A 26521-nucleotide genomic window follows, 5' to 3' on the forward strand; every position below is an offset into this window, starting at 1 on the left:
TCTTCAGGAAGCTGAGGCAGGAGGATTGTTTGAGCTCAAAGACTTTGAGAATATAGTGTACTATGACTACACCTGAGAATAGCCACTGCACTCCAGCCTGGGCAACAGGACAATAGTCTATATTTTTTTAAAAAAAGCATCATCAACTTATAATATTACCAACTTATGATGGGTTCATTGGAACATAATCCTATCATAAGTTGAAGTGTATCTTTATATAGTAGAATATAGTAACATACTACAGACTTATTTTCTCAAAGCATAAAAATAAACCACACTAATGATCATCCATGGGAGAGGGACACCTAGACAATGTCCTGCAAAACGAGAAATACTGGTAAGACATACTTTACATTCCAGACTGAGTCTCTTTCACCATGAAATAAAATCATTAAGAAATTTTTAGTAATATTTTAATTATTATATTTTAATTAAAAATTTAGGTATAGAAAGAAGGTTGTATAGCTTTACATTAAAAATAAATTAGTATGTGACTTGGCTACTTGACACCAAATAGCTTGTGTCAGATTCACCCTCCCACCATAAAAAACTATACAATCTGGCCAAAATATAGAAAAAATTCTTGGCAGGTGTATTAGTCTGTTCTCATGCTGCTAATAAAGACATACCCAAGACTGGGTAATTTATAAAAGAAAGAGGTTTAGTGAACTCACAGTTCCACATGGCTGGGGAGAACTCACAATCATGATAGAAGGCAAAGGAAAAGCAAAGGCACATCTTACATGGCAGACAAGAGAGAGGGCATGTGCAGGGGAGCTCCCCTTTGTAAAACCATCAGATCTCATGAGACTTATTCACTATCACAACAACAGCATGGGAAAGACCCACCCCCATGATTCAATTACCTCTCACCAGCTGCTGAGCATGGTTCAGGTGGGCTGGCTACATGTGGGAATTATGCAAGCTACAATTCAAGATGGGATCTGCGTAAGGACACAGCCAAACCATATCAGCAGGCATTGAAGAACATTGTTGTAGCAAGTCAGGTATGAGATCTTTAAGGAAGGTGAGGCACATGAGGTTAGTACCACATTTGCCAGGATTTTCCAGAAAGGCATCTTCCTGACCTTGGTACAGGAAAATGGGACCCAACCAGGGGTTAGTGGTCTTGGGAACCAAAAGAAGCAATGAATAGAGTTCAAAGCTGCTAAATTGGTTAGGAATTGGGGGTCAATGTACCATATGGGAGAGAGAAAGAACCTAGAAATGGGTGTATACATGCCATTTTGGTCCTTCTGTGACTCCTTAGCTATGTGACAGTTGGCTAAGAAGAGGGGAGACCTTGGAGAAAGAAACTGCTGGGATACAGAAAGCAGAAGAGATCATCAGGGACTGAAAACTTCCTGGAAAGCTACTGGAGTTCAGATCCAGCCAAATGGGGAAATGTTGGCAAACAACTGAGAAACTCAGTTGGGACTCTAAAAATTCTCTTAGGAGAGGTGCAGTATCCCAGGAGTGAGGCATATGTTCTAAGAGGAAAATAAAATATAATTACCATAACACAGCTTAAAACTAGGTCTTGAGAGCAGCAAGATGATCTGCAAGTAATTACAAATTCTGCCCAGAAAAAAAATTCAAAATTCTTGAGTAGTTCTATATCATATTATCCATAAATTCAGCATACTTTAAAAAAAATACCAAATATACAAAAAAGCAAGTAAAACAGACTGATAAGAAATAAATCAGTTATTAAAAACAAACTCATAGATAATCCAGATATTGGAGTTAACAGATAGGGCATCATAACATCTATGATGAATATAAAGGAAAGAAAGAAAAAATGAAAGACAAAACAGGTTGTGTCAGATTTCTTTCTGGAAGCTTTAAAATGCTCACTTTATTTTCATAGATTCTAATTTCCTAAATTATGTTTGATGTTTCAAGCAAAAATCATAGCATTGTCTAGTGTTATTCTAAATGGATGTAAGACAATTATACTACAAATTTGATAGAGTAAAGAGACATAATATGACAGAAGGTTGCTATACTTCACTCAGACTGGAATAAAGATGATACCAATTGACTGTGATAATGTTTATATAAATGAATATACACTAAGCTGTAAAATGCAACCACTAAGCTATAAAATGCAACCAAAAAAACTATAAAAAAGAAGATACACTATAAACACTATAAATAACAAAATGGAATTCTAAAACAAATGTTCAAGTAACCCACATGAAGTCATGAAAAATAAGCAGAGAAACAAGAATTGATAGAGAAAACAAAAAATGTCAGGCTTACGCATTAAAGTATCAATAATTCATTTAATTATGAATGGTCTACCAAGAGATAGATAATAGAAGAGTGTATTTAAAAGTATGACCCTTTCTTGTATGTTTCTTGTATGCTGTGTACAAGAAACTCACTTGAATTTTACCAATACAGGGCAGGCCAAATTAACAGGATGAAAAAAGATATATTACACAAACATTAATGAAAGGAAAGCAAGAGTGTCTGTGTGCATATCAGATAAAGCAAAGAAAACTTCCAAAACCAGAGATTATATAATGATCAAAGGTTTAATCCATGAAGAAGACAGCAATTTTAAAAGTGTATTCACCAAAAAATAAAGCTTCAAAATATGTGATGTGAAAACTGCCAGAACTAAGGCGGGCCGGGCTCAGACCAGCGCTGCCTCAGGATGTGAAGTGTAACAAGAGGGCCAGGGGAGGTGGTGGGGGACAACATGGGCCTGTGAGGCCTGTGGGTGCCCGCGTTCCCCAGCTCCCCCCGCAGCCCGCTCCACAGTGGTCCGCTCCGGTTGGTTGTCACGTGCGCATTCGGGTTCCAGACCCAAGGCTGCGTGTTCTCCACCGCTTGTTGTGGCCAGTGTTACTGCGGTGACCGCCAGAGCAGCCTCGACGCTATGGAGGAGCCTGGTGCTACCCCTCAGCCCTACCTGGGGCTGGTCCTGGAGGAGCTACGCAGAGTTGTGGCAGCACTACCTGAGAGTATGAGACCAGATGAGAATCCTTATGGTTTTCCATCGGAACTGGTGGTATGTGCAGCTGTTATTGGATTTTTTGTTGTTCTCCTTTTTTTGTGGAGAAGTTTTAGATCGGTTAGGAGTCGGCTTTACGTGGGAAGAGAGCAAAAACTTGGTGCAACGCTTTCTGGACTAATTGAAGAAAAATGTAAACTACTTGAAAAGTTTAGCCTTATTCAAAAAGAGTATGAAGGCTATGAAGTAGAGTCATCTTTAGAGGATGCCAGCTTTGAGAAGGCGGCAGCAGAAGAAGCACGAAGTTTGGAGGCAACCTGTGAAAAGCTGAACAGGTCCAATTCTGAACTTGAGGATGAAATCCTCTGTCTAGAAAAAGACTTAAAAGAAGAGAAATCTAAACATTCTCAACAAGATGAATTGATGGCGGATATTTCAAAAAGTATACAGTCTCTAGAAGATGAGTCAAAATCCCTCAAATCACAAATAGCTGAAGCCAAAATCATCTGCAAGACATTTAAAATGAGTGAAGAACGACGGGCTATAGCAATAAAAGATGCTTTGAATGAAAATTCTCAACTTCAGACAAGCCATAAACAGCTTTTTCAGCAAGAAGCTGAAGTATGGAAAGGAGAAGTGAGTGAACTTAATAAACAGAAAATAACATTTGAAGACTCCAAAGTGCACGCAGAACAAGTTCTGAATGATAAAGAAAATCACATCAAGACCCTGACTGGACACTTGCCAATGATGAAAGATCAGGCTGCTGTGCTTGAAGAAGACACAACGGATGATGATAACCTGGAATTAGAAGTGAACAGTCAATGGGAAAATGGTGCTAACTTAGATGATCCTCTGAAAGGAGCTTTGAAGAAACTGATTCATGCTGCTAAGTTAAATGTTTCTTTAAAAAGCTTAGAAGGAGAAAGAAACCACATTATTATTCAGTTATCTGAAGTGGACAAAACAAAGGAAGAGCTTACAGAGCATATTAAAAATCTTCAGACTCAACAAGCATCTTTGCAATCAGAAAACATATATTTTGAAAGTGAGAATCAGAAGCTTCAACAGAAACTTAAAATAATGACTGAATTCTATCAAGAAAATGAAATGAAACTCTACAGGAAATTAACAGTGGAGGAAAATTACCGAATAGAGGAAGAAGAGAAGCTTTCTAGAGTGGAAGAAAAGATCAGCCGTGCCACTGAAGGGCTGGAGACCTATAGAAAGCTAGCCAAAGATCTTGAAGAAGAATTGGAGAGAACTGTTCATTTTTATCAAAAGCAGGTTATTTCCTACGAGAAAAGAGGACATGATAATTGGTTGGCAGCTCGGACTGCTGAAAGAAACCTCAGTGATTTAAGGAAAGAAAATGCTCACAACAAACAAAAATTAACTGAAACAGAGTTGAAATTTGAACTTTTAGAAAAAGATCCTAATGCACTCGATGTTTCAAATACAGCATTTGGCAGAGAGCATTCCCCATGTAGTCCCTCACCATTGGGTCGGCCTTCATCTGAAACGAGAGCTTTTCCCTCTCCTCAAACTTTGTTGGAGGATCCACTCAGACTCTCACCTGTGCTTCCAGGGGGAGGAGGAAGAGGCCCAAGCAGCCCAGGGAATCCCCTGGACCATCAGATTACCAATGAAAGAGGAGAACCAAGCTATGACAGGTTAATCGATCCTCACAGGGCTCCTTCTGACACTGGGTCCCTGTCATCTCCGGTGGAACAGGACCGTAGGATGATGTTTCCTCCACCAGGGCAATCATATCCTGATTCAACTCTTCCTCCACAAAGGGAAGACAGATTTTATTCTAATTCTGAAAGACTGTCTGGACCAGCAGAACCCAGAAGTTTTAAAATGACTTCTTTGGATAAAATGGATAGGTCAATGCCTTCAGAAATGGAATCCAGTAGAAATGATGCCAAAGATGATCTTGGTAATTTAAATGTGCCTGATTCATCTCTCCCTGCTGAAAATGAAGCAACTGGCCCTGGCCTTATTCCTCCACCTCTTGCTCCAATCAGCGGTCCATTGTTTCCAGTGGATACAAGGGGCCCGTTCATGAGAAGAGGACCTCCTTTCCCCCCACCTCCTCCAGGAACCATGTTTGGAGCTTCTCGAGGTTATTTTCCACCAAGGGATTTCCCAGGTCCACCACATGCTCCATTTGCAATGAGAAACATCTATCCACCGAGGGGTTTACCTCCTTACCTTCATCCGAGACCTGGATTTTACCCCAACCCCACATTCTGAAGGTAGAAGCGAGTTCCCTTCAGGATTGATTCCGCCTTCAAAGGAGCCTGCTACTGGACATCCAGAACCACAGCAAGAAACCTGACAATATTGTTGCTTTCTTCAAAAGTAATTTTGACTGATCTCATTTTCAGTTTAAGTAACTGCTGTTACTTAAGTGATTGCACTTTTCTCAAATTGAAGTTTAATGGAATAATAGTTCTCAGGATAGTATTTCGTAAATAAAGATGGTTTGAATATGAATCTTATGAGTAAATCATTTCCATTTTATTATATTCTAGATCATATAACTTTTAACTTGGTGAACTAATCCACTCTTAGAGAAACAATAGTGGGAGTTTTATATATGTAATCTTGCAGGTGAGGAGGCTTTAAATTCTAAAGGTTGTGGTGTCTTCATGCCAAGAACTGTATTCACTGTGGTTGTAGATAAATGTGAAAGTAACTTTATGCTTAATTTAATAAATTTTCATTGATTTTTTTTAAAAAAAGAAAACTGAAAGGAGATATAGATGAATCCACAATTATAGTTAGAAATTTCCTCATGCCTTTTTCAATAATTGATAGAACTAGACAGAAAATCAGCAAGGAGTGTTGGCTTTGGCAGCACTTTCTAAAATCAGAATGATGCCAACAAGATTAAAATGGTTCTTGAATATAGATTACACAAAATTTTGTGAAGCATTTCATGTTTTTAAAAAGAGGAAAAAAAAGAAAATCAACAAGAATATAAAACAACTCAAAATGCCATTAACCAAAAGAATCTATTTGGCATTTACAGAATATTCCACACAGTAACAGCAGAATACACATATTTTTTTTGAGTGCTGACGAAACACATGGCAAGATAGAGCTGTCCTAGGCCCTAAAACTCGCCACAACAAATTTAAAAGAGATAGTAATCATCCAGAGCAGATGAAAACCAGAAATCATTGTAGGGAATCCAATTGGAAATCAGCATAAGAAAGATATGAAAATCCCTAAACATTTGGAAATTTAAAAACACACTTCACAATAATCTATCAGTCAAAGAAGTCTCAAGGAAAAATTTAAAAATACATTGAACTGGATAAACATGAAACTGTGACATATCAAAGTACTGATAGAAGTTTTTCCTTGTCAGGTGACTCCTCAGTCAAAAAGGAGCCCAGTAGAGAAATGGGCTGGTGAGAGCATCTGATGGGCTCTAGCAAGGGAGACAGAGCTGCGGGGGACAGTTCCTCAGCCCTGGACTCTGTCTGAGTCCCGGGAATCTGAGTCACGAGATATGAGGCACCTGGAAACAGGTCACAGTGAGGAGAGTCCTCAGGGGCTATCAGAGCGGGCATTGAAGGCCCATGATGCTCATTCTCCTCTTCCCTGCTCCTCGCTCTTCCCACTGCCCCCAGCCTGCCCCCATCCCAACTCTCTGGCTCTTTCGCCTCCTGCCCGCTGACTGGGACCCCTTTCTCCTTTATACCATGATCTTCTTGCTTTCCAGTTACTTCCTCTGATTTTCCCAAAAAGGTTTGACTCTTTTCGTCCTGAGAGTCCGCCCTGTTCTCTTCTGGCACCTGCAGCTCCCTCTTCCTCTCTTCTCCCTGTTCTGGACCTCCCTGACCCTGAGCCTTCCTCTCCATATCCTCCTGCTCCCACTCACCGTCATTCAGACCCTCTGGCTCCCCAGTGAGCCCCATTCTTTCTCCTTGTCTCCCAAGCATCACATCTTGTACCTGTTCCTGTTTTTGCTTCTGTTCTCCCTTTTCATCATTAACCTGCTCTATCATCTGTTCCTCCCCTAATAGCCCATCGGCACAAACATCCTCCCTCAGAGTTCCTTCCCCCCGAAATCCTGCTTCCTGCTGTCCCTGCTCCTCCAGAACTTGGACCTCCTGGGGATGCAAGAGCCCTTGACTTTCCTGCAGCTCCTCAGATGGCAGCTCTTCCCCCTGCCTGATAGTCCCACTTTCAGCGCCTTCATTCTGGTTGGTCTCTGCAGGATGCTCTTCGCAGGGAGAATAATATCTGGTCTGACCAGAGTTATCTGAAGAGGTTTCCTCTTCTTCTTCTGCCTGTCCAGATCCCAATGTCAAAGAAGTAAGTCCTGGCCAAAATTCCACCTCCTCTTCTTCGCTTCCCAGGTCACTGGAAAATGGGGCCATGTCTAGATGCTCACTCTGAATGGGGCAGGCCCAGAGCTCTGGGGGAGCTAGAGTCCTTGCTTGTCGGCCTGCTAGGCTCTGGGGTACTGCCTCCCAGTGTTCCGGAGTGTCACAGGCCTCAGCCACAAGGCTTTCCTGATTGGGCTCCACATCTGCAGAACCTTCCTTGGGAAAAGAGGGCATCGTCTCAATCGCATAGTCACACACATCCCTTAACTCACTCTGCTGAGTTGCTGAGAGTCTGTGTTCCTCTCTCCACTTATAGGATGGGTCCTCATCTTCTTGAGCTTCAAGCCCCAAGGCAGAGACCTGGCTGCTCCTCATGGGAGCCTCAGGGATAATGCTGAATTCCTCTATGGCAGAGATGGGAGGAGAGGCTCCATGCTGGGCCTCCTCAGCCTCCATCAGGGCTGAATCCTAAGGAGGAATCAAAGACAAATGTTTCTAACAACTCTGCTTTTACCTATCAGAGGAAGAGACCATAAAAAAGAAGAGTGATGCATTTATTTGGTTCCATTTAGGGTCATTCTTTGAGACAACAGGTTCTCAACAAAATAAGCAATAGCCTCTAAAAAACTTGTCATTGATGTATTTATTTCATAAATATTTTCCTAGCGACCCTGTTAAGTGTGGGGCATTCAGTAGTGAATGAGATAAAGATCTTGTCGTCATGGAGACTGTGGTCTTGTGAGGGAAACAGGTCATAATGAACAATTAAATTATAGCAGAGGACCATTGTCAGAGAGTGCCCAGAAGCTCCCAGTTGTCAGTTCTCTCTAGACTCCATTATGTCATCTTCTGTCTCTCCCTGTCTACTCTTCGGACACTAGGAGTGACTCATCCTCATATAACCCCCAGACACAGCAAGGGACACACCTCAGATCTATTAGGCCAGAGAAGCAGTGTCAGGAGAGGGTCTTCCTCTTAAGCTGTGGACATCAGTTAAAATAGGCCAGGCTATGATAGCCAATGTGTGAGGTGCTATGGTTTCATCTTCTTTACAGAGGGTTTGGAGTTTACTCATCTTTCTGTTTTCCATAGTGTCTACTACAGCATTGTAACTAACAGTTTTGTTTCCAATTCTAGAGGCAGCTGTTGTAAAGTGGGATGATAACAGCCTTATTGGATTAGTGTTGAACTAGACACATTACCACCTTGAAGGAAGACCACAGAAGGGTGCTTTCTGCATCACCTTACTCTCCCCTTGGCCTCAGTATCCATATGAACTCTTCTCATTAATTCTTTTGACCTTCCTGTCTTTTGATTTCGACCTTCCTGCCTTTCTTCTCACTTCCAGCAGAACACCTCATCTCCTATTTTGCAAAGAAAATAGAAACTGATGGAACTGGGTTTCTCTCACCTCAATTTCTTGTGATCCAAAGCAACCTGTATTTCCACTCTTTCTATCTTCCGCCCTCAGTCAGGAAAAGACGTATCCCTCCTTTCCATGCTCTGTCATTTCTTGCCTGCTTCCCCAGGAACACTGTGCACTCATACCTTCAACATCCCTGCTGAACAACCCCTGGGGTATGGAAGCATTCCCACATTCTTCTCATCTTTCAAATGACTAGAAGGAGTTGCTCTTATCTGCTGTCTTCATACTCTCACATCCCACCTGCCTCCAACTGAGCTTTGATAGCGGCATTCTGCCAATATTCCCTACAATCAACATGTTGTTAATTCCAAAGAAGACCTTATGGATCTTCACTTTGGGTGGTTCTTGTCAGTATTTGACAGTACTGAGGTTAGAAATACTCTCTTGTTACTTGTGGTATTACATTTTCCTGGTTTTACCCCTTCAGTTTCCTCCAGTCTTTTTTTTTCTTTCTTTTTTTTTTTTTTTTTTGAGATGGAGTCTTGCTCTGTCACCCAGGCTGGAGTGCCGTGGTGCAATCTTGGGTCATTGCAACCTCCACCTCCGGGTTCAAGCGATTCTCCTGCCTCAGCCTCCCGAGTAGCTGGGACTATAGGTGTGTGCCACCACACCCAGCTAATTTTTGTACTTTTAGTAGAGACGGGGTTTCACCATTTTGGCCAGGATGGTCTCAATCTCCTGACCTCGTTATCCACCCGCCTCGGCCTCCCGAAGTGTTGTGATTATAGGCGTAAGCCACTGCACCTGGCCTCCCCTGATCTTTTAAGTAGGTTAAATTGTACCCCTCTTTGTAGCACTTACCAACTATAATTCACTTTACTTTTCCTTTGTAGCATTTATACAATTATAATTATATAATGATGTGTGTATTTTGAGTTACCCTCTATTGCAACCAATAGATAGTAAAATTTATGAGATTAAGAACTATGACTTGCTGAATTATCCATACTTAGCCTAATAGTGGCCTATACTCAGTGTTTAATAAATATTTTTCACATAAAGAATAAAATTCAGGTCAGAATAAAATGTGATCCTTTTACTTCAATGGAATATGCCCACCTTTTCCTAAAATCATGATTAACAGTTTACACAGAACTTTAAACATTTAGAGCTCTATACACAACAAATTAATTTTTCTTATTTTTCATTCTGAAACACTAAGGTTTTCCTGCATACATGTCATTAAAAATAATGAAATGCTTCTTTAAATATGTATGTGCCATACATCTAAGAGTCATCGTATAAGATGGGTACCATTATTCTGCCCATTTTACAGATGAAAAACTGAGTTTCCCAATGCACTTTATATATATAATCCTGACACTCTGGGAGGCTGAGGCAGGTTGACTGCTTGAATCTAGGAGTTTGAGACCAGCCTGGACAACCTGGTGAAACCCTGTCTCCACAAAAAATACAAAAATTAGTGGAGCATGGTGGCACGTGCCTGTAGTTCCAGCTACTTGGGGGCTGAGATGGGAGGATCCCTTGAGCCCAGGAGGCAGAGGCTGCAGTGAGCCAAGATCACATCACTGCATTCCAGCCTAGGTGACAGAGTGAGACTCTGTCTCTAAATAAATTAATTAATTAATTAAAATAAAATAAAATTCTTGTTTCCCTCCTGGCCCAGATTCCCCATATCTAATCAATCACCATGTGCTATTGACCTCGTCTGCTAAATATCCCTTAAGACTGTCCACTTCTATCCCATCCCTCTCCACTGGTGCATGCTGCTACCGTCTCGCCCGGGCCACTGCACCCGGCCACAGCTTGGGCACTGGCGTCCACCCATTTCACGTTATTCCAGTCCTTTCTCCATACAGCACCTAAGTGAGCTTCAAAAGCACCAGTTCTAGCTTAGATTCTTCAGCAGCCTCTGAATGCTCTTGAGATGAAATCTAAATCTTCAGCATGGGTTATACTCCCTGCACAACCTGGCTCTGCCTTCTTCTCTAGCAGCCTATTCACCTGTCACCATCTGTCCCTGCCCCCATCCCCCCCCCCCCCACTGGCTTTCAGTGTCTTTAGCTCACTTCTCTCTGTGTCTCTCACCTGTAGGCCTTTGTAGACACTGCTCCTCTGCCTGGAATCCTCTTTTGCAACAGAGAATCCTTTGCTTCTCCTCAAACACACCTTGCACTTGTCATGTCATATTTAATGTCTATTTTCCAGGCTAGATTATGAGCACCATGAAGGGACAAACACTGCCATATAACCCCCTCTGCCTGAAGCCTAGTTGGCCCTCAACAAAGATGTATTGTATGAATGAATGACGGAAGAATATAGAGTTAGAAGAGTGTGGATCAGTGTTTGGTTGTGCCTCTCTGGTATCTTTGCTGGTTTTAAGACAATTGTAGAAACCATTAAATTTATTTGAACATCCATTTTCTTATCTTTAAAAAGGAGATAAAAGGATTCCTTCACAGTTCTAGTAAAGATTAAATAAGGTAACATAAAAATGTACACTGCTATCTTTAAGGGTCATAGAAATGGTGGCTGTGGTAAATACTGTTGACCTGAGAGACAGAGAATAAGTGTAAGAGAGAAACACAGGATTCATAAAGCCGGAAGGACCTTCAGAGACACACAGAAACTGCTCAATTTACAGATGAAGAAACTAAAGGTCAAAGACCCTAGACCCTTGCTCAAATCTCCTAAGCAAATGGTATGGGCAAACCTGAAGCAAAGTCGCTTGATTTAAGTCTCCTGTAAGCACTTAGAGGTCCTACTGAAAGAAAGCTGGCAGGCCATCAGTCCAGAGAAGACCCCAGAATTCTATGGACCCAATGCTGCACCTGACCGTGCACCTTTCTTGTCTGGTCCAGGCTTAAACTGAAAACTCACCTGCTCAGAATACTGTCCTGCTTAGCCACTGTGTGTACACACACACACACACACACACACACACACACACACACACACACACACTGAGCCATCCTTACAAACTCTTGCAATAGAGCCTGACATAACCAAACAGGCAGGTCCCTAGCACACTGCAGAGTAGTATGTGACAAGATTCTGGCCATCCCAGAGACAGAGATACCATCTATATGGGGCAAAGAGATATGTCTGACATAATTGTACACAGGCAGAAGGACTTTTATGTCCTTTTCCAGTTAACTGACACCATATGCGATTGGCTCCCTATGTCTAGCCCTTAAGTACAAAATACTATAATCCCTATGGGTGATTCTGTGATGTGGCCCTGTTCTCTCAACCACACATCGAATAATATACTTGCTTACTTTAAGACACTTTCTGAAACTTGGCCTAAGGAGACCATGGGACTAAACCTGTAGTCTCTCCTCACTTACATCTGCATGGTTCAGGCCCTCTCCTCCATATACACCATCACGTCTTCAAAACAAGTAGCCTCTAAATAAAAGTGTGTTTCTGCCATATCTAGGGTATATCTATAAATACCATGTGCTACCTGGACATTTTCTGTTCCAATCTAGTGGCACAGTGCATGCCTGCCTCTGCAAGCCCATTGACACCGTTTCTAACTGTCTTTTTTCATTTGGAAATATCAGTGGTCACCTGCTCAGCCACCAGTTACCGCAAAGGGAGAACATACCCCACGTTCCCTATACTTGATCCTATCTCAGTGATCCCGTTGCAATCAGGCATGACAAAGCTAAAATGTGACAAAGTGAAAGGAAATCTGTAAATCATGGTCTTACTCACGTAAAGGCATCAGGAGAGAGTTTTTTGCAATGCTCATTACGTTAGAGTGCAAACATCCTCATCTCCTTCTCCACTGAGGGTGAATAATCACTGTTTATCTGTGTACAGGCAAAGCCAGGGCATGGGATTATGGGGATACGGCCTTGCTTCAGACCACAGACATTCTGCATCCACATAACCTCACCCACGTGTGACTTCTTGAGAGGCAAAGCTTCAAGTCATCCCTTTAACATAATGTGTGACAGAGCTCACTATCTTCCCTAGAGCCCCCCCACCAACACCTTAGCTCTTGTCTATTTCTAGTCACTAGAAACAACACTGTATTTCAAGGATACAACCCCTCCCCAATCAAACTGCCAAATCTTTGAACTGAGACTCAGTGCCATATATATATTTTTGAGGACCATGCTTCCTGGATTTTCTAGCAAGGTTGATTTCAAATATTCTGACTTACAAATCACTAAAATAATATTGAGGTTAAAATAAGATCACCACATAGATATATAACTTTATTCACTGTTTGACATCACTGCCCTCAATACTACAAAGATATCAAAACAGGGGTAGCTTTCTGGACCACTGACTACTACAATGTGTGTTCTATCCATTGCAGGAAAGTCCCACCATGCCAGTGAAAGCTGTAATACACATTTATCTATTCTCTAATGTCTGAAAATGTCACACCAACTGCCTTATAGACCAGATAGTTTATATAAGAACATTATTAGTGTCAATGCTGACTTACACTCTACAATCTCATCTGTGGTCCTGGTGGCATCCACACAGATAACATTAGTGTGAGTGACGTGTTTGTGTATTAACATAGACCTTGAGGGTGACTTTGTTCCAGTCTACCTTGCAGGCACTATAAGTGATCGGCTCCTGCTTACTCCACAGACACTGTGAGTGACCCAGCCCCTGTCTACACTAGAGCTGTTGGTCACCTGTTTGTCTACACCACTGACACTTGAGTAATGCTGCTCCCGTTGAACCCAAGACCCTACGAGTGACTCCATTCCTGTCCATACCACATAGCGACTGACCTCTCCAGACACCACAAATGACGTATTCCTGTCTATCCCACAGACACCACGTGTAACGTGGCCACGGAACCTCAGACAGACCGCGTTAAGGGCACTGATACACTCTCAGGACCTCTAATATATGAACACTCTTCTCTCTATTGAGAATCACTATATTCTGTTGATGAGAGGGATTCCTTTGCACTCCTCCTGATTTCTCTCTCCTCCCCACTAGGACCATGACATACATTCCTCCTGCATATCAGTCTCACCCAGAACTGACACGCCCTCATCCCATCTTCCCAGCTCCCCAGGACTCCTTCACTAGCCATGGCTTCACTTTTAGGCCCACAGATTGGTTAACAAATGACACCCATTTTGCTAAGGCCTATGCCAGGAACTTCTTCATGCTCCAAATGTGGATAAAACAAGACGTCTGAGACAGAGGCCACATCAAGAGCTTTTTAGCTGGAGCTGGGACCTCTGGATTAGGCCCAAGATGCAAGGCCAGACAGTGGAGTGCAGTAGGGGAGCAAGCTAGGGAGGAAGCTCGAAAGGAAAACCACCCTCTCTCATCTGTTTGACACACCCTTCTCTCTCAACCAGACAAGAGTCCTGGCCAGAGTTCACTTCTAGGTAGACAGGAGGGCAAATCTGTCTTTGGAACCCAAGATCCAGGAAGGGAAGAAAGGGACTGAGATCTGGAAATGACGTAGTATCACAACTGGCTCTCCTCCGGTAGTCTTGCCGGAAGGCAACTGCAAAAGATGCTCAGGGGTTCTAGAGCTCTGCGTCCGCATTCTAGCACCCCAACGCCTACCTCAGCCCCCAACTCTAAATAACTTCTTTCCACCTTGCTAAGAATGCAACGTTGTGATTCACATCAAGCTTTAGGAGGCTCCCCATATGTAGGGAACTGGGGTGAGGGGCAGGGCAGGATTCACTGTTCCAGGTTACGGAGCTTTGGTTAACACGGAGAGAAGCTACACATAGACTCACACAGTATGCAAATACCTATGGAGATACATAAGGAAAGGCCCCGGCCTGGTTAAGGAAAAGGAGCCGATAAAACCTCTCCAGGTAAGGAACAGCCTAGAAAGGGAATCTCAGTTATTCCTTCTGATATGGCTTAGCTTTCCCCAGGGCGCCTACTTTGAAGAAAGAGCCCTGATTATTGGCCCGGGGAACGTCTGGGGGCAGGGTGCCCATTTCCTAGGCGGGACCCGACCGGAAGCAAACTTGTAGGCAACAACATTTCCTCTAGTTCCTCTCCTCTTCCCCACCAGGGTCCTCAGCCACACACCCCGAGCCCTGCCTGCGGGCCCAGCCCCCCCATTTCCGGAGCCTGCGCCCCGGACCCAGCGGGGGCTGATCCCTGGGAAAGGCCTGGCTTCCTCTTCCTTCCTGTCCCTGCCCCACCTCCGCCGGGCTCCACAGCCGCCGGGAGCCCAGGGCCGAGACGGGAGGAGGGCACCCACCTGGTCGGTGTCACATGCTGCTTCGGCCCCAGCGTCCCCTCCAGGTCCCGGCGCCGGCCGCAGTCCCCAGAGCCGTCCCCAGCGCAGGCCCGGCCGCCCCACCCGCGGCCCGCCCCTGGCCGCCCGACGGGAGGGAGGGATCGGGTTCTCCTAGGAAGTTTCAGGTGAGGAAACAGGGACACACCTTCCCGGAGGAGGGGCAGGGCCCCTCCGCGCGCGAGCCCCATTGGTGTGAAAGAAGCTCCCGCGTCAGAGCTGGGAAGTGCCGGGCCGGCGGAGAGGGGAGCCCGGGCGCACGGGCCAGGCCGCGGGCTGTCCCAGGGAGCCCCGAGGGCGCGGTGCGCGGGCGCAGGTCGGGCGCAGGCGGGGTGACCCGGGGAAGGGGCGCGCACAGAGACAGAGGGAGCCAGCCGGGCCCCACGGTGTCCTCGGACGCCTCCGAAATCTCCCTGCGTGTTTGTTTCTTCGGAGCTTCACCGGAGCCTGACTCTGGAACCGGCCTGTCTGCCTGCTGCAGTCTGTATGTGTTTGTCTTTTGCCTTGGCCGTGCCTCTGGAAGTCTGACATCCGTGGTTGTACATGTGTCTTTATCTTCAGGCCTCATTGGTTTTTGGTTTGTTCGTTGTTGTTGTTGTTGTTGTTTTTTCTGAGACGGAGTCTCGCCCTGTTGCCCAGGCTGGAGTGCAATGGCGCGATCTCGGCTCACTGCAACCTCCGTCTCCGGGTTCAAGAGATTCTCCTGCCTCAGCCTCCCGAGTAGCTGGGATTACAGGTCCGCGCCACCATGCCCGGCTAATTTTTGTATTTTTTAGTAGAGGCCGGGTTTCGCCATGTTGGCCAGGCTGGTCTGGAAACTCCTGACCTCAGGTGATGCACCCGCCTCGGCCTCCCAAAGTGCTGGGATTACAGGCGTGAGCCACCGCGCCCGGCCAAGGCCTCAGTGTTGATTTCTCTTCCGTGATGTCTCCTCCTATAGAATAAAGAGTGTCTCCTCCATCTCCTCCTCCGCCCCCTTCTTCGTTTCTCTCTCTCTCTCCCTCCCTCCTCCCCCCTCCCTGTCCCTCTCCCTGCCTCTTCCTCTCCCCTCTTCCTTCTCCTACTTAGGGCCTAGAAGTGTGCCTCTCTGAAAGGACATGCCCGTGTCCTTCTGTATTCCCGAGTTTATTTTAGAATGAGTGCGTATCTCAGGGTGTATGTTCCTTCTAGGGCCTGTGTGTGTGTGTGTGTGTGTGTGTGTGTGTGTGTGTATTTAAATCTCTAAGCCCATGTTTGTGTGTTTTCTTATGCCTGTATTTTTTTTTTATTCTTTCAGGGAAACGTTTTGTTCTGTTAGTCTTGGAGGCCAAGGCTGAGTGGGTTTATCTCTGTGCCCCTCCAGTGACTTCAAAGAATGCCAAAAGTCTCTCGAGTGTGCCTGTGTGCACACACAGACACACACAAAGTAGGAATCCTTTACCTGGGGGACAGAGATTTCTGTTATTTTTGGTTGAATCTGACCACTCCCCAAAGCCATTCACTACTCCAGGGGTTTCCATGGTGACATAAGTCAAGTGAAATATTAATGGACTCCTTGCCTATTTAGCTCTTAGGAATGCCATGGTCTACAGCCCAAACAGCTTGGCTAGACCATTTCTAGATCACTGTGCCCATTGGCTGTTGCCAATGATCCTGGTTGAACGTGTTCACTAGTTATTTTGAGGTGGCTGTAGAATAGAATGTAATTAAGGAAGTATAGCCTCTTCTGTAATAGAGTCCTGAACAGCTTTATGTTAAAAAAGTGTGCTACTTCTGCCATGTTACTCTGAAGGATTAAGTCTTAAACAGTTCAGCAGTTTTCAGCCTACTCTAAGCTGCCATGGAGTGTATGGGAAACTATAGGAAAAATTGGGATTAAGACTCAAAAATCTGGATTAAGAAGGGCAGGCCTTGCATGTGTCCTAGGCTCAGCAAAAGGGTAAGAACTGGGAGTACAGAAAGGCAAAAAGTTCAAACTGGGACTGGCTCTACTTCTAGGCTGGAATACAAAACTCATTCCCAGGTATGAGAGGGTCCTTGATTTATACCGAGTGAGCAAAGTGAGTAAACTTCTGATCTAGGGCAGAAGCTGTTGACCTCTGGGTCGGGTGCGGTGGCTCACAACTGCAATCCCAGCACATTGGGAGGCCTTGGCCGGTGGATCACCTGAGTTCAGGAATTTGAGGCCAGCCTGGCCAAACATGGCGAAACCCCTTCTCTACTGAAAATACAAAAATTAGCTGGGCTTGGTGGTGGGCACCTGTATTCCCAGCTACTTGGGAGGCTGAGGCAGGAGAATTGCTTGAACCCAGGAGGCAGAGGCTGCAGTGAGCTGAGATTGCACCACTGCACTCCAGCCTGGGTGACAGAGTGAGACTCTGTCTAAAAAATACAAAAAAAAAAATTGTTGACCTCTGGCATATTTCATGCTGCCTACTGGGGGTGGGCAATGGGGTCAGAGGTACCAGAACTGCCTCCTGAACCAGCCTGGCTATTCTTTCTGCTTCCCTCCAGCTTCAGTTGGTTCTCCTTGATTACAGTGCTCTCTCTCTCTCTCTCTCTTCTCATCAACTCGACCTCCTCTTGTTCTGCCAGCTCTGACTTGTCAGCATATTTTTTTTTGAAGTCACAACCCTGGATTCTTGTGCGCTTGTCCAGAGAGTTAGCACACAAGGCTTTTCCTGACTTTTCAACTAGTAGGAAAGTTACAACCGACCATTTAGGGAGTTTGCTCTTCCCATCAAGCCTGTTCCTGTCTGCAGGGTGTATTTGCATGTGGAGGTCACTCTAGCTCTCCCAGGTATTCTTCCTTTCACTTTGCAGACTATGGTTCTCAGCATTTTATTATTTTTTTTCTTTTTCATTTCTTGCTGCGTGGTCTTGGTGACTGGGTTTCTTAATCAAGCCTGTCATCCCATCCTGAGATTTTGATATTTTATTTGGGCCTATATTTCCTCTATAAAGGCCTAGAGAGGAGAGAGAATGATGCCATGGAAAGAGAATGAGATTTAGATTCAGACAGGGGTAAATTTGAATCCTGCATTCCATTTACTTAATGTGAAATCTTGGGCATATTCACCTTCCTGTGCTTTCTCTGAATCTTCTTACGTTTCATTTCCCTAATGTCTTAATTGGGGATAATAATATGTAATGATACCTACGTCACTGGATTGTTGTGGTGATTCAATACTGTAATATATAGAAATCACCTTAGTATAAGTACCTGATGTGTAAAGGTGGTCAAGATGGGTTAGTTTCCTTTCCTAGCAGTGCCTGTCAGTGATGCATGTGGAATGAATATATTTATAAGAACAAAGTGATAGGGGCTGGGAACAGTAAATAGATTCAAAATAAAGCTATTTTAAAATGAAAGCCCTATTAGACGAGGCTGAATAAAAATAGCTTCTGGAACTTGGGACTACTTTAATTGACAATAATGCCTTTAAGATCAAGTTATGGGGCTTGGGGAGAGGCAGGGAACAATCCCGTATAGTTCTAGGTATCAGGACTAAAGGAATGACAATGACCTTTTTTGAAGCAGGAACTCATCAGCATTATCCCTGGGGCTGTCATTGTCCTGACTAGATACTGTCATGGTGCCACTATCCCACATGACTGGCTGCATTGTTCCCACGTGGTGAACTCTCTCTGACTCTCAGCTGGTCCAGTGCTAGTTCTTGGAACACTCCTAAGGCCTTTCTGCCTCTGCTTTTTGCCTGATCCTGTGACCCAACATTGAACCTTTCGAACTGATTTTGAACTCAGTTCTTCTTTTTTTTGAGATGGAGTCTCGCTCTGTCGCCAGGCTGGAGTGCAATGGCGTGATCTCGGCTCATGGCTACCTCTGCCTCCTGGGTTCAAGCGTTTCTCCTGCCTCAGCCTCCTGAGTAGCTGGGATGACAGGCATGTGCTGCCACACCCGGCTAATTTTTGTATGTTTAGTAGAGATGGGGTTTCACCATATTGGTCAGGCTGGTCTCGAACTCCTGACCTCATGATCTGCCTGCCTCGGCCTCCCAAAGTGCTGGGATTATAGGCATGAGCCACCGTTCCTGGCCCCAGTTCTTCTGTTAATGGGGCTGACCGTGGTCTCTCCATTCATCTCTGTTGAAGCCAGGCTGGCTTGACCACTGTGGTTCTTAGCTATCTTCTTCTATTCTGTTTTTTTGTTTTATTTTATTTTATTTTATTTTTCAGAGATGGAGTCTTGCTCTGTCCAGCCCAGGCTGGAGTGCAGTGGCACGATCTAGGCTCACTGCAACCTCTGCCTCCTAGGTTCAAGTGATTCTCTTGCCTCAGCCTCCCCAGTAGCTGGGATTACAGGTGCGCACCACCAAGCCTGGCTAATTTTGTGTTTTTAGTAGAGATGGGGTTTCACTATGTTGGCTAGGCTCATCTCAAACTATTGACCCCAAGTGATTGGGATTACAGGCGTGAGCCACTGCGCCCAGCCTATCCTCTTCTATTCTGATGAGCATGGTTTTATTTTCTATCCTTGGCTTCCCCTTATTTATTTTCTCAACCTTTGCACATTGATTGGCATAAGCCTAAATTTAATGCCATTCAAGGCATACATACTAATTGCCTCATTCATTTTTTCTTCTATTCATTTACTCAGTATGCATTCTTAGAAACCAGATATACAAAGACAAGATCTCTGCTTTCAAGAAGCTCTCAATCTGATTGAGGAGAGAAACAGGTAGCAAATAATGGCAGCAGAGCATGGTAAGTGTTATGTTGAGATGGACACAAAGTACAATGGAAGCATAAAGGAGAGAGTAGGTGGCACTCCTTGGGGAATCAGAGAAGCCTGAATGGATAAGGTGGATTATATATATTTTTTTCTTTTTGAGATAGGGTCTCACTGTGTCACCTAGGCTGGAGTGTAGTGGTGCAATCATGGCTCACTGTAGCCTCAAACTCCTGGGTTTAGGTGATCCTCCCACCTCAGCCTCCTGGGGCTGGAACTAGAGATGTGTACCACCATGCACACCTGGCTAATTTTTGGTATATTTTTGTAAAGACAGAGTTTTGTCATGTTACCCAGGCTGGTCTCGAACTCCTTGACTCAAGCAATTCACTCACCTTGGCCTCCCAAAGTGCTGGGATTACAGGTGTGAGCCAACGTGCCCGGCGAAGGTGAGATTTGAGTTGACTTGTCTTTTAAAAATATTCTGTTACTGGCCGGCATGGTGGCTCATGCCTTTAATCCCAGCATTTTGGGAGGCCGAGGCGGGGGATCACGAGGCCAGGAGATTGAGACCATCCTGGCTAACATGGTGAAACCCCGTCTCTACTAAAAATACAAAAAAAATTAGCCGGGCTTGGGAGACTGAGGCAGGAGAATGGCGTGAACCTGGGAGGCAGAGCTTGCAGTGAGCCGAGATCGCACCACTGCACTCCAGCCTGGGCGACAGAGCGAGAATCTGTCTCAAAAAAAAAAAAAAAAAAAATTCTGTTAACCTGGTATAGAGGAGGATATAGGAAAAGCATACCAATAGCAGAAGTGAAATATGCAAAAATACAAGCCTGAGCACCCTCTGTTCAGGGATGTGCAAATAGTGTGGGTTTAACATGAGATGTGGTGAAGAAATGGCAGAGAATGAAGTTGGAAGGGTAGTCGGGCAGCCAAATCATGAAAGGCCTTGTAGGCCATTCCTGCTACTGAGTTTGGACTTCATCCTTCTGGGGATAGGCCTCCTTGGAAGGGTTTCAAGCAAGGTCATGATGAGATCAGATTCTAAGGTTAGATTTAGAAAAAAAAGCTCTGGGGGCAGTTGAGAGAATGGACTGGTGTGGATAGTGAAGTGGAGGGGCAAGGAAGGCAATCAGCTGTTGTAGCAATTAGATGGATATTGTAGTCATGGAGGTAAGAAAAGAAGACACCTTGAACGAATGCAGGGGCAATGGGAAAATAAGACAGGGAATGGATTTTAGTATTGTGCTGACTGTTTTTTTTTTTTTTTATTTTATTTTTTTATTTTATTTTTTTTTTTGAGACGGAGTCTCGCTCTGTCACCCAGGCTGGAGTGCAGTGGCGGGATCTCGGCTCACTGCAAGCTCCGCCTCCCGGGTTCACGCCATTCTCCTGCCTCAGCCTCCCAAGTAGCTGGGACTACAGGCGCCCGCCACTACGCCCGGCTAATTTTTTTGTATTTTTAGTAGAGACGGGGTTTCACCGTTTTAGCCGGGATGGTCTCGATCTCCTGACCTCGTGATCCGCCCGCCTCGGCCTCCCAAAGTGCTGGGATTACAGGCGTGAGCCACCGCGCCCGGCCGTGCTGACTGTTTTTTGAAGATAAAATGATCAAGTCAGATTTGAAGAATTGACTGTTGGAGGTGAATAAAATGATGTCCTCTCTGAGTACTTCTCTGTTTGTGAGAGGACTCCTTGAGGAGTTCTGCTCTTGATTTTGCAGGGGCTGCCTCTAGAGCTCTGTGTTTTATTTGCAGAAAGAAGCTCAACTATTAATACTTTGCTGCTTGCTTTGAACTTGCATTTCACAGCCTGGCCCTTTTTTTTCTCAATGTTGCTACTTTGCTTTCAAGATGTAGAGGCCTATTGGCCAGATAGACACATCAAAGAGCCTTGCCTAGGAGTTTAGTCACAGCTGTCATCATTTGTGTCCAGGAGCCATGGGCTTCAGCTTGCCTGGTTTGATCGGCACTACCTGTTTTTCTTTTTTTTAATCAGTAGTGGTAAGAGTGGTAAGATGGGTGGTTCTGGGAAGGGTTACTGAGGAAATGGTCTGTTTTGCTTGTAAAAAGAATGTTTCTATTAACTCAGACATTTAGAAACTCACTTATTCTCAGAGATATTAAGTCATGGGTGTAGGAAAAGGATGGGAGTTTAAGAAGTGAAAGAGACCACCTCGACCTGAATGAATGAATGAATTGTGAATTTTTAATAATTCACAGTTGTGTTCACTTGTGAATTATTAATAATGTATATAACAACTAAGTGTGCGGAGGGTCTCAACGTATAGTTTGTGGATGTGCGGGTGATCCGGCTGTGACATCTGCCACACCATAGATCAAAGTGTAGTTTGTGGTACACCTGCATTGGAGTCTCCAATTCGCTTTGTGAGTCATTCTTTTTTTTTGAGATGGAGTCTTACTCTGTTGCCCAGGCTGGAGTGCAGTGGCATGATCTTGGCTCACTACAACCTCCGCCTCCCAGGTTCAGGCAGTTCTCTGCCTCAGCCTCCTAAGTAGCTGGGGTTGCAGGCGCCCGCCACTACGCCTGGCTAATGTTTTTGTATTTTTAGTAGAGATGGGGTTTCACCATACTGGCCAGGCTGGTCTTGAACTCCTGACCTCGTGAACCACACACCTCAGCCTCCCACGGGTCATTCTTAAGCACAGTAAAGCTTAGGACTCAGGGTGTTCCAGCTTGTATAGAAGGAAGAAGTACAGTGGACTGCAATGCCTGCTTTAAGGATATTAGGGAAACAAGAAAAGAAACTTTTGTGCCAGGCCACTGGGTATAAAGTTTTATGACCCGAGGATGGAAGGAAATTAGAAACAGGGATTGTAAGGCCAACAGGGAGAAAAGCAGAGCAAGTATTCAACAATTTCGTTAGACAGTACATGTAATCAGTTGTAGTTTAACACTGGACATGCATGTGTGATGTAATTTTTGAAGTTATGAAAGTGTAAGCAATCTTTTGTTCCGAGTTTACCCCTGGATGCTGTGGGCAATGAGGGATGAGCCTGGTGCAATGAAGAAGTAAATTGCTGCACAGCATGGTGCCTCAGGCCTGGAGCTCTTCACATCCTTTAGAGCTGGATTAAGAGATGCTGTGTTAGCTCCAGCAAAGGTCACTAGGAGTCTTTGGGTTAAATTTTTTTTTTTTTAATCCACAAATTCTTGTAGTTCACTGAACTTCTTTAAGAGGAGGAAAGCCCAACTTGGGGTCGATAAATGGTATAGTAAATATTTGTTCAAGTTCTAAAATGGACTATCATTTTAAAGAGTTGATTAGCAAAGTTGAAAATACCTGATATTCTCTATGGTTTGTATCTGTGGGAGATGTTTGGTGGAATGGTCAGGAGGAAGAGATGGAAAGAGTGCCATTGCCTTAAAAAAAAAGAACAGCCCTGGCCGGGTGTGGTGGCTCACGCCTGTAATCCCAGCACTTCGGGAGGCCGAGGTGGGCAGATCACCTGAGGTCAGGAGTTCAAGACCAGCCTGGCCAACATGGCGAAACCCTGTCTCTACTAAAAAAAATACAAAAATTAGCCAGGCTCAGTGGCTTGCACCTGTAATCCCAGCTACTCGGGAGACTGAGACAGGAGAATCGCTTGAACCCAGGAGGTGGAGATTGCAATGAGCCGAGATTGCACCACTGCACTCCAGCCTGGGCAACAAAGCAAGACTCCATCTCAAAAAAAAAAAAAAAAAAAAAAAGAATAGCCTCTTACCAGCTCTGCTGGGTTCTAAAAGATGAATAGGTTGCCTACCCTGATGTCAAGGAGCTCACAGTGTAATGGATGTGACAGATGAACAACAGTGTTGAAGTGCAGTGCACTTTATGCTAGAGGTGCCATGGGAGTTTGGAGGAGGAAAAGATTATCTTGTCGGTGAGTTTATAAACCAATGCCAAAGTGATGATGCCTCTGTGTGATGCTTGTAGGTCAGCAGTTACACCATCACTCTTCCTAAGTCTCTAGACTAGAGGCTCATATTTTTCGAATCTCCTGTACAAAGACATTTTTAACTTGAGTGCATATATCATAGAAAAATATGTATACTTCCAAATCTCATTCAGTTGAACATTTCCAAAACGTCTGGTACATAATGTCTGAGAATGCCCAGGTCCTCCTGGAGGCTGGTTATAGCTATGGTGAGGTGTTGCAGTCATGAAGAGGGAGTGGGTCCTTGCCTGCCTGCCCTACAGTGAGCAATCCCTAGAAGCGCTGTTATTCAGGTTGTCTTGCTTTTTGTCTTTTGAAATGTTTGGATTTGGGATGTTTTGGAAATTTCCCCATCCAAAATTTTTGGAAGATAGGGATGGGGATGGGAATGATCCCTGTTCCTTATTTTTTATTTTTATTTTTTTGATACAGGGTCTCGCTTTGTTGCCTAGACTGGAGTGCAGTGGTGCTATCATGGCTTACTGCAGTCTCCACCTCCCAGGCTCAAGCAATCCTCCCACCTCAGCCTCCCGAGTAGCTGGGACTACAGGTGCACACCACCATGCCTGGCTAATTTTTGTATTGTTTTGTAGAGATGGGGGTCCCACTTTGTTGCCCAGGCTGGTCTCAAACTCCTGGGCTCAAATGATCCACCTGCCTCAACCTCCCAAAGTGCTGGCGAGATTACAGGCGTGAGCCACTGCACTCAGCCAATTCCTGTTCTTTTGAAATGGAGTCTCGCTCTGTGGCCCAGGCTGGAGTGCAGTGGCATGATCTAGGCTCACTGCAAGCTCCACCTCCCGGGTTCATGCCATTCTCCTGCCTCAGCCTCCTGAGTAGCTGGGACTACAGGCGCCCGCCACCACGCCCGGCTAATTTTTTGTATTTTTAGTAGAGGCAGGGTTTCACCGTGTTGGCCAGGATAGTCTTGATCTCCTGACCTCATGATCCTCCCGCCTCAGCCTCCCAAAGTGCTGGGATTACAGGCGTGAGCCACCGCGCCCAGCCCAATTCCTGTTCTTAAAGAGACTATAACCAGTAAAGTTCATTTAGTGGAGTTCTGGCTCTACTGTATTTGTTACCAGAAAGAGGTTCTGGTCCCAACCCCAAGGGAGTGTTCACGGGCCTTGCACAAGAACGAATTTGGGGCAAGCCCGTAAAGGGAAAGCAAGTTTATTAAGAAAGCAAAGGAATAAAAGAATGGGCTGTTCGACTGAGTATACTTACAGTTATTTCTTCATTATATGCTAAACAATGGGTGGATTACTCATGAGTGTTCCAAGAAAGGTACAGGCAGTTCCCAGAACTGAGGGTTCCTCTCCACTTTAGACCCTATAGGGTCTAAAGTTCAGACACTGCCTGGCATTTTTAAGTTGTCATGGCACTGGTGGGAGTGTCTTTTCGCATGCTAATGAATTATGAGTAGCATATAATGAGCAGTAAGGATGACCAGAGAGGTCACTTTCATCACTGTTTTGGATTTGGTGGGTTTTGGCTGGTGTCTTTACTGTATCCTGTTTTATCAGCAAGGTCCTTGTGACTTGTATCTTGTGCCGACCCCTATCTCATCCTGTGACTAAGAACGCCTAACCTCCTGGGAATGTAGCCCCATAGGTCTCAGCTTTGTTTTATCAAGTCCCTATTTATGATGGAGTCACTGTGGTTTGAACACTTCTGACACAGTGGCTCCCAAACCTGGCAAATCAGCAAAATTTCCTTAAAATCCATCTGTCTATCAATCAATCTATCTATCTATCTATCTATCTATCTATCTATCTATGAGACAGAGTCTTGCTATGTCGCTTAGGCTGGAGTGCAGTGGCGTGATCATAGCTCACTGCAGCCTTGAACTCCTGGGCTCAAGCCATCCTCTCACCTCAGCCTCCCTGGTAGCTGGGACTACAGGTACACACCACCATGTACAGCTAATTTTTAATTTGTTTGTAGAGATGGGGTCTCAGTACTCTCTATTTTCCCAGACTGATTTTGAACCCCTGGCCTCAAGGGATCCTCCTCCCTTGGCTTCCCTGGGTGCAGAGGTTACAGGCATGAGCCACTGGGCCTGACTGTTGTTTGTTTTTAAGATGATTATGATTAGGATGAGAAGCCAGGTTTAGGAATCCTGATAGAAAAGCAGTGGTTCTTTAGCAGAGGCTTCCATCATAATCATCTGATCAGCATTCTGAATTTGCCATTGCCCTAAACCCACGGAGTTTTAATTCTGTAGGTTTGGGGTCAAACAGAACTATTTGAAAATAGCTCCTTGCTGATTTGGATGCCTAATAATAGTGGAAACTCTCTGACCCACAGCAGTGATTTTTAAACATCTTTCATTCTACCTCCTGTCAATAAAAAAATTTTGAGCAGGCATTTCCCCAGTATATGCATGTTTTATTTATTTATGAATTATATATGTGTACTTCTGTATGATATGCAAACACAGATGTTTTAAAATAATGAGGTACAAATAAATGTCATTGAAAGCTCTAATATTTTTATCTCGTTCCCCCAGTGGATACACTGAGGATCCCATTGTGTAGAACATTGAGAGAAAGAACAGGGCCAGTGGTTCCATAATTGACCCCAACTCTTATTTAGCTGCTACTATCACGGGTAGCTGTCTGAAACAGAATCACTGGTTCCCACCCCAACCAAAGCACTCCTACTCCATTCCTTAATTTATGCAGTCATTCAACACATGTATAGGTTTAGCAGACCTAATCCCCAAATCTCAAATCCAAAATGCTCCAAATTGTGAAATATGATACTCAAAGGAAGTGTTCATTGGAACATTTGACATTTGGGATTTTTGGACTTGGGACGCTCAACTGGTTAAGTACCTGCAAATATTCCCAAATCCAAAGAAATCCAAAATCCAAAACACTTCTGGTCCCAAGCATTTCAGATAAGGGATACTCAACCCATATTGTGCAAAGCGTTGAATG

General features: G+C 44.5%; 2 protein-coding genes and 1 long non-coding RNA gene across 4 annotated transcripts in view, besides 2 other annotated features; 2 read left to right on the forward strand and 1 right to left on the reverse strand.

Moving 5' to 3' along the window:
* Positions 1-2852: 2852 nt before the first annotated feature.
* Positions 2853-5467, forward strand: CTAGE4 (CTAGE family member 4). The gene has a single exon (NM_198495.3). The coding sequence runs from the start codon at positions 2891-2893 to the stop codon at positions 5222-5224; it is 2334 nt and encodes a 777-aa protein (NP_940897.2). The 5' UTR covers positions 2853-2890; the 3' UTR covers positions 5225-5467.
* A 2-nt stretch (positions 5468-5469) lies between these two features.
* Positions 5470-15266, reverse strand: ARHGEF35 (Rho guanine nucleotide exchange factor 35). Of its 2 annotated transcripts, none has more exons than NM_001368318.1 (2): positions 15109-15266; positions 5470-7782 (listed from the first exon to the last, which is right to left on the reverse strand). In NM_001368318.1, exon 2 carries the CDS (start codon positions 7768-7770, stop codon positions 6316-6318), a length of 1455 nt encoding a protein of 484 aa, NP_001355247.1. In that variant the 5' UTR covers positions 7771-7782; positions 15109-15266; the 3' UTR covers positions 5470-6315. The 2 variants fall into 2 exon arrangements, with proteins under 2 accessions (NP_001355247.1, NP_001003702.2); NM_001003702.3 differs by having other exon boundaries at positions 14925-15220.
* ARHGEF35-AS1 (ARHGEF35 antisense RNA 1) overlaps positions 14708-26521 on the forward strand; it is a 104269-nt gene continuing 92455 nt past the window's right edge. The window contains exon 1 of the long non-coding RNA NR_126022.1: positions 14708-15088. This is a non-coding gene — a long non-coding RNA (ARHGEF35 antisense RNA 1). The remainder of the gene's footprint in view (positions 15089-26521) is intronic.
* Positions 23825-24387: an enhancer, noted in NCBI's record as "H3K27ac-H3K4me1 hESC enhancer chr7:143901531-143902093 (GRCh37/hg19 assembly coordinates)". NCBI's record gives its function as "activates a minimal SCP1, AML or CMV promoter by ChIP-STARR-seq in primed H9 embryonic stem cells {active_cell/tissue: H9 hESC(primed)}" and the evidence as "EXISTENCE:reporter gene assay evidence [ECO:0000049][PMID:30033119]".
* Positions 24388-24949: an enhancer, noted in NCBI's record as "H3K27ac-H3K4me1 hESC enhancer chr7:143902094-143902655 (GRCh37/hg19 assembly coordinates)". NCBI's record gives its function as "activates a minimal SCP1, AML or CMV promoter by ChIP-STARR-seq in primed H9 embryonic stem cells {active_cell/tissue: H9 hESC(primed)}" and the evidence as "EXISTENCE:reporter gene assay evidence [ECO:0000049][PMID:30033119]".

The sequence above is a fragment of the Homo sapiens genome, chromosome 7 (assembly GCF_000001405.40).
Source record: "Homo sapiens chromosome 7, GRCh38.p14 Primary Assembly".
In the NCBI taxonomy this organism is placed as follows: Eukaryota; Metazoa; Chordata; class Mammalia; order Primates; family Hominidae; genus Homo; species Homo sapiens.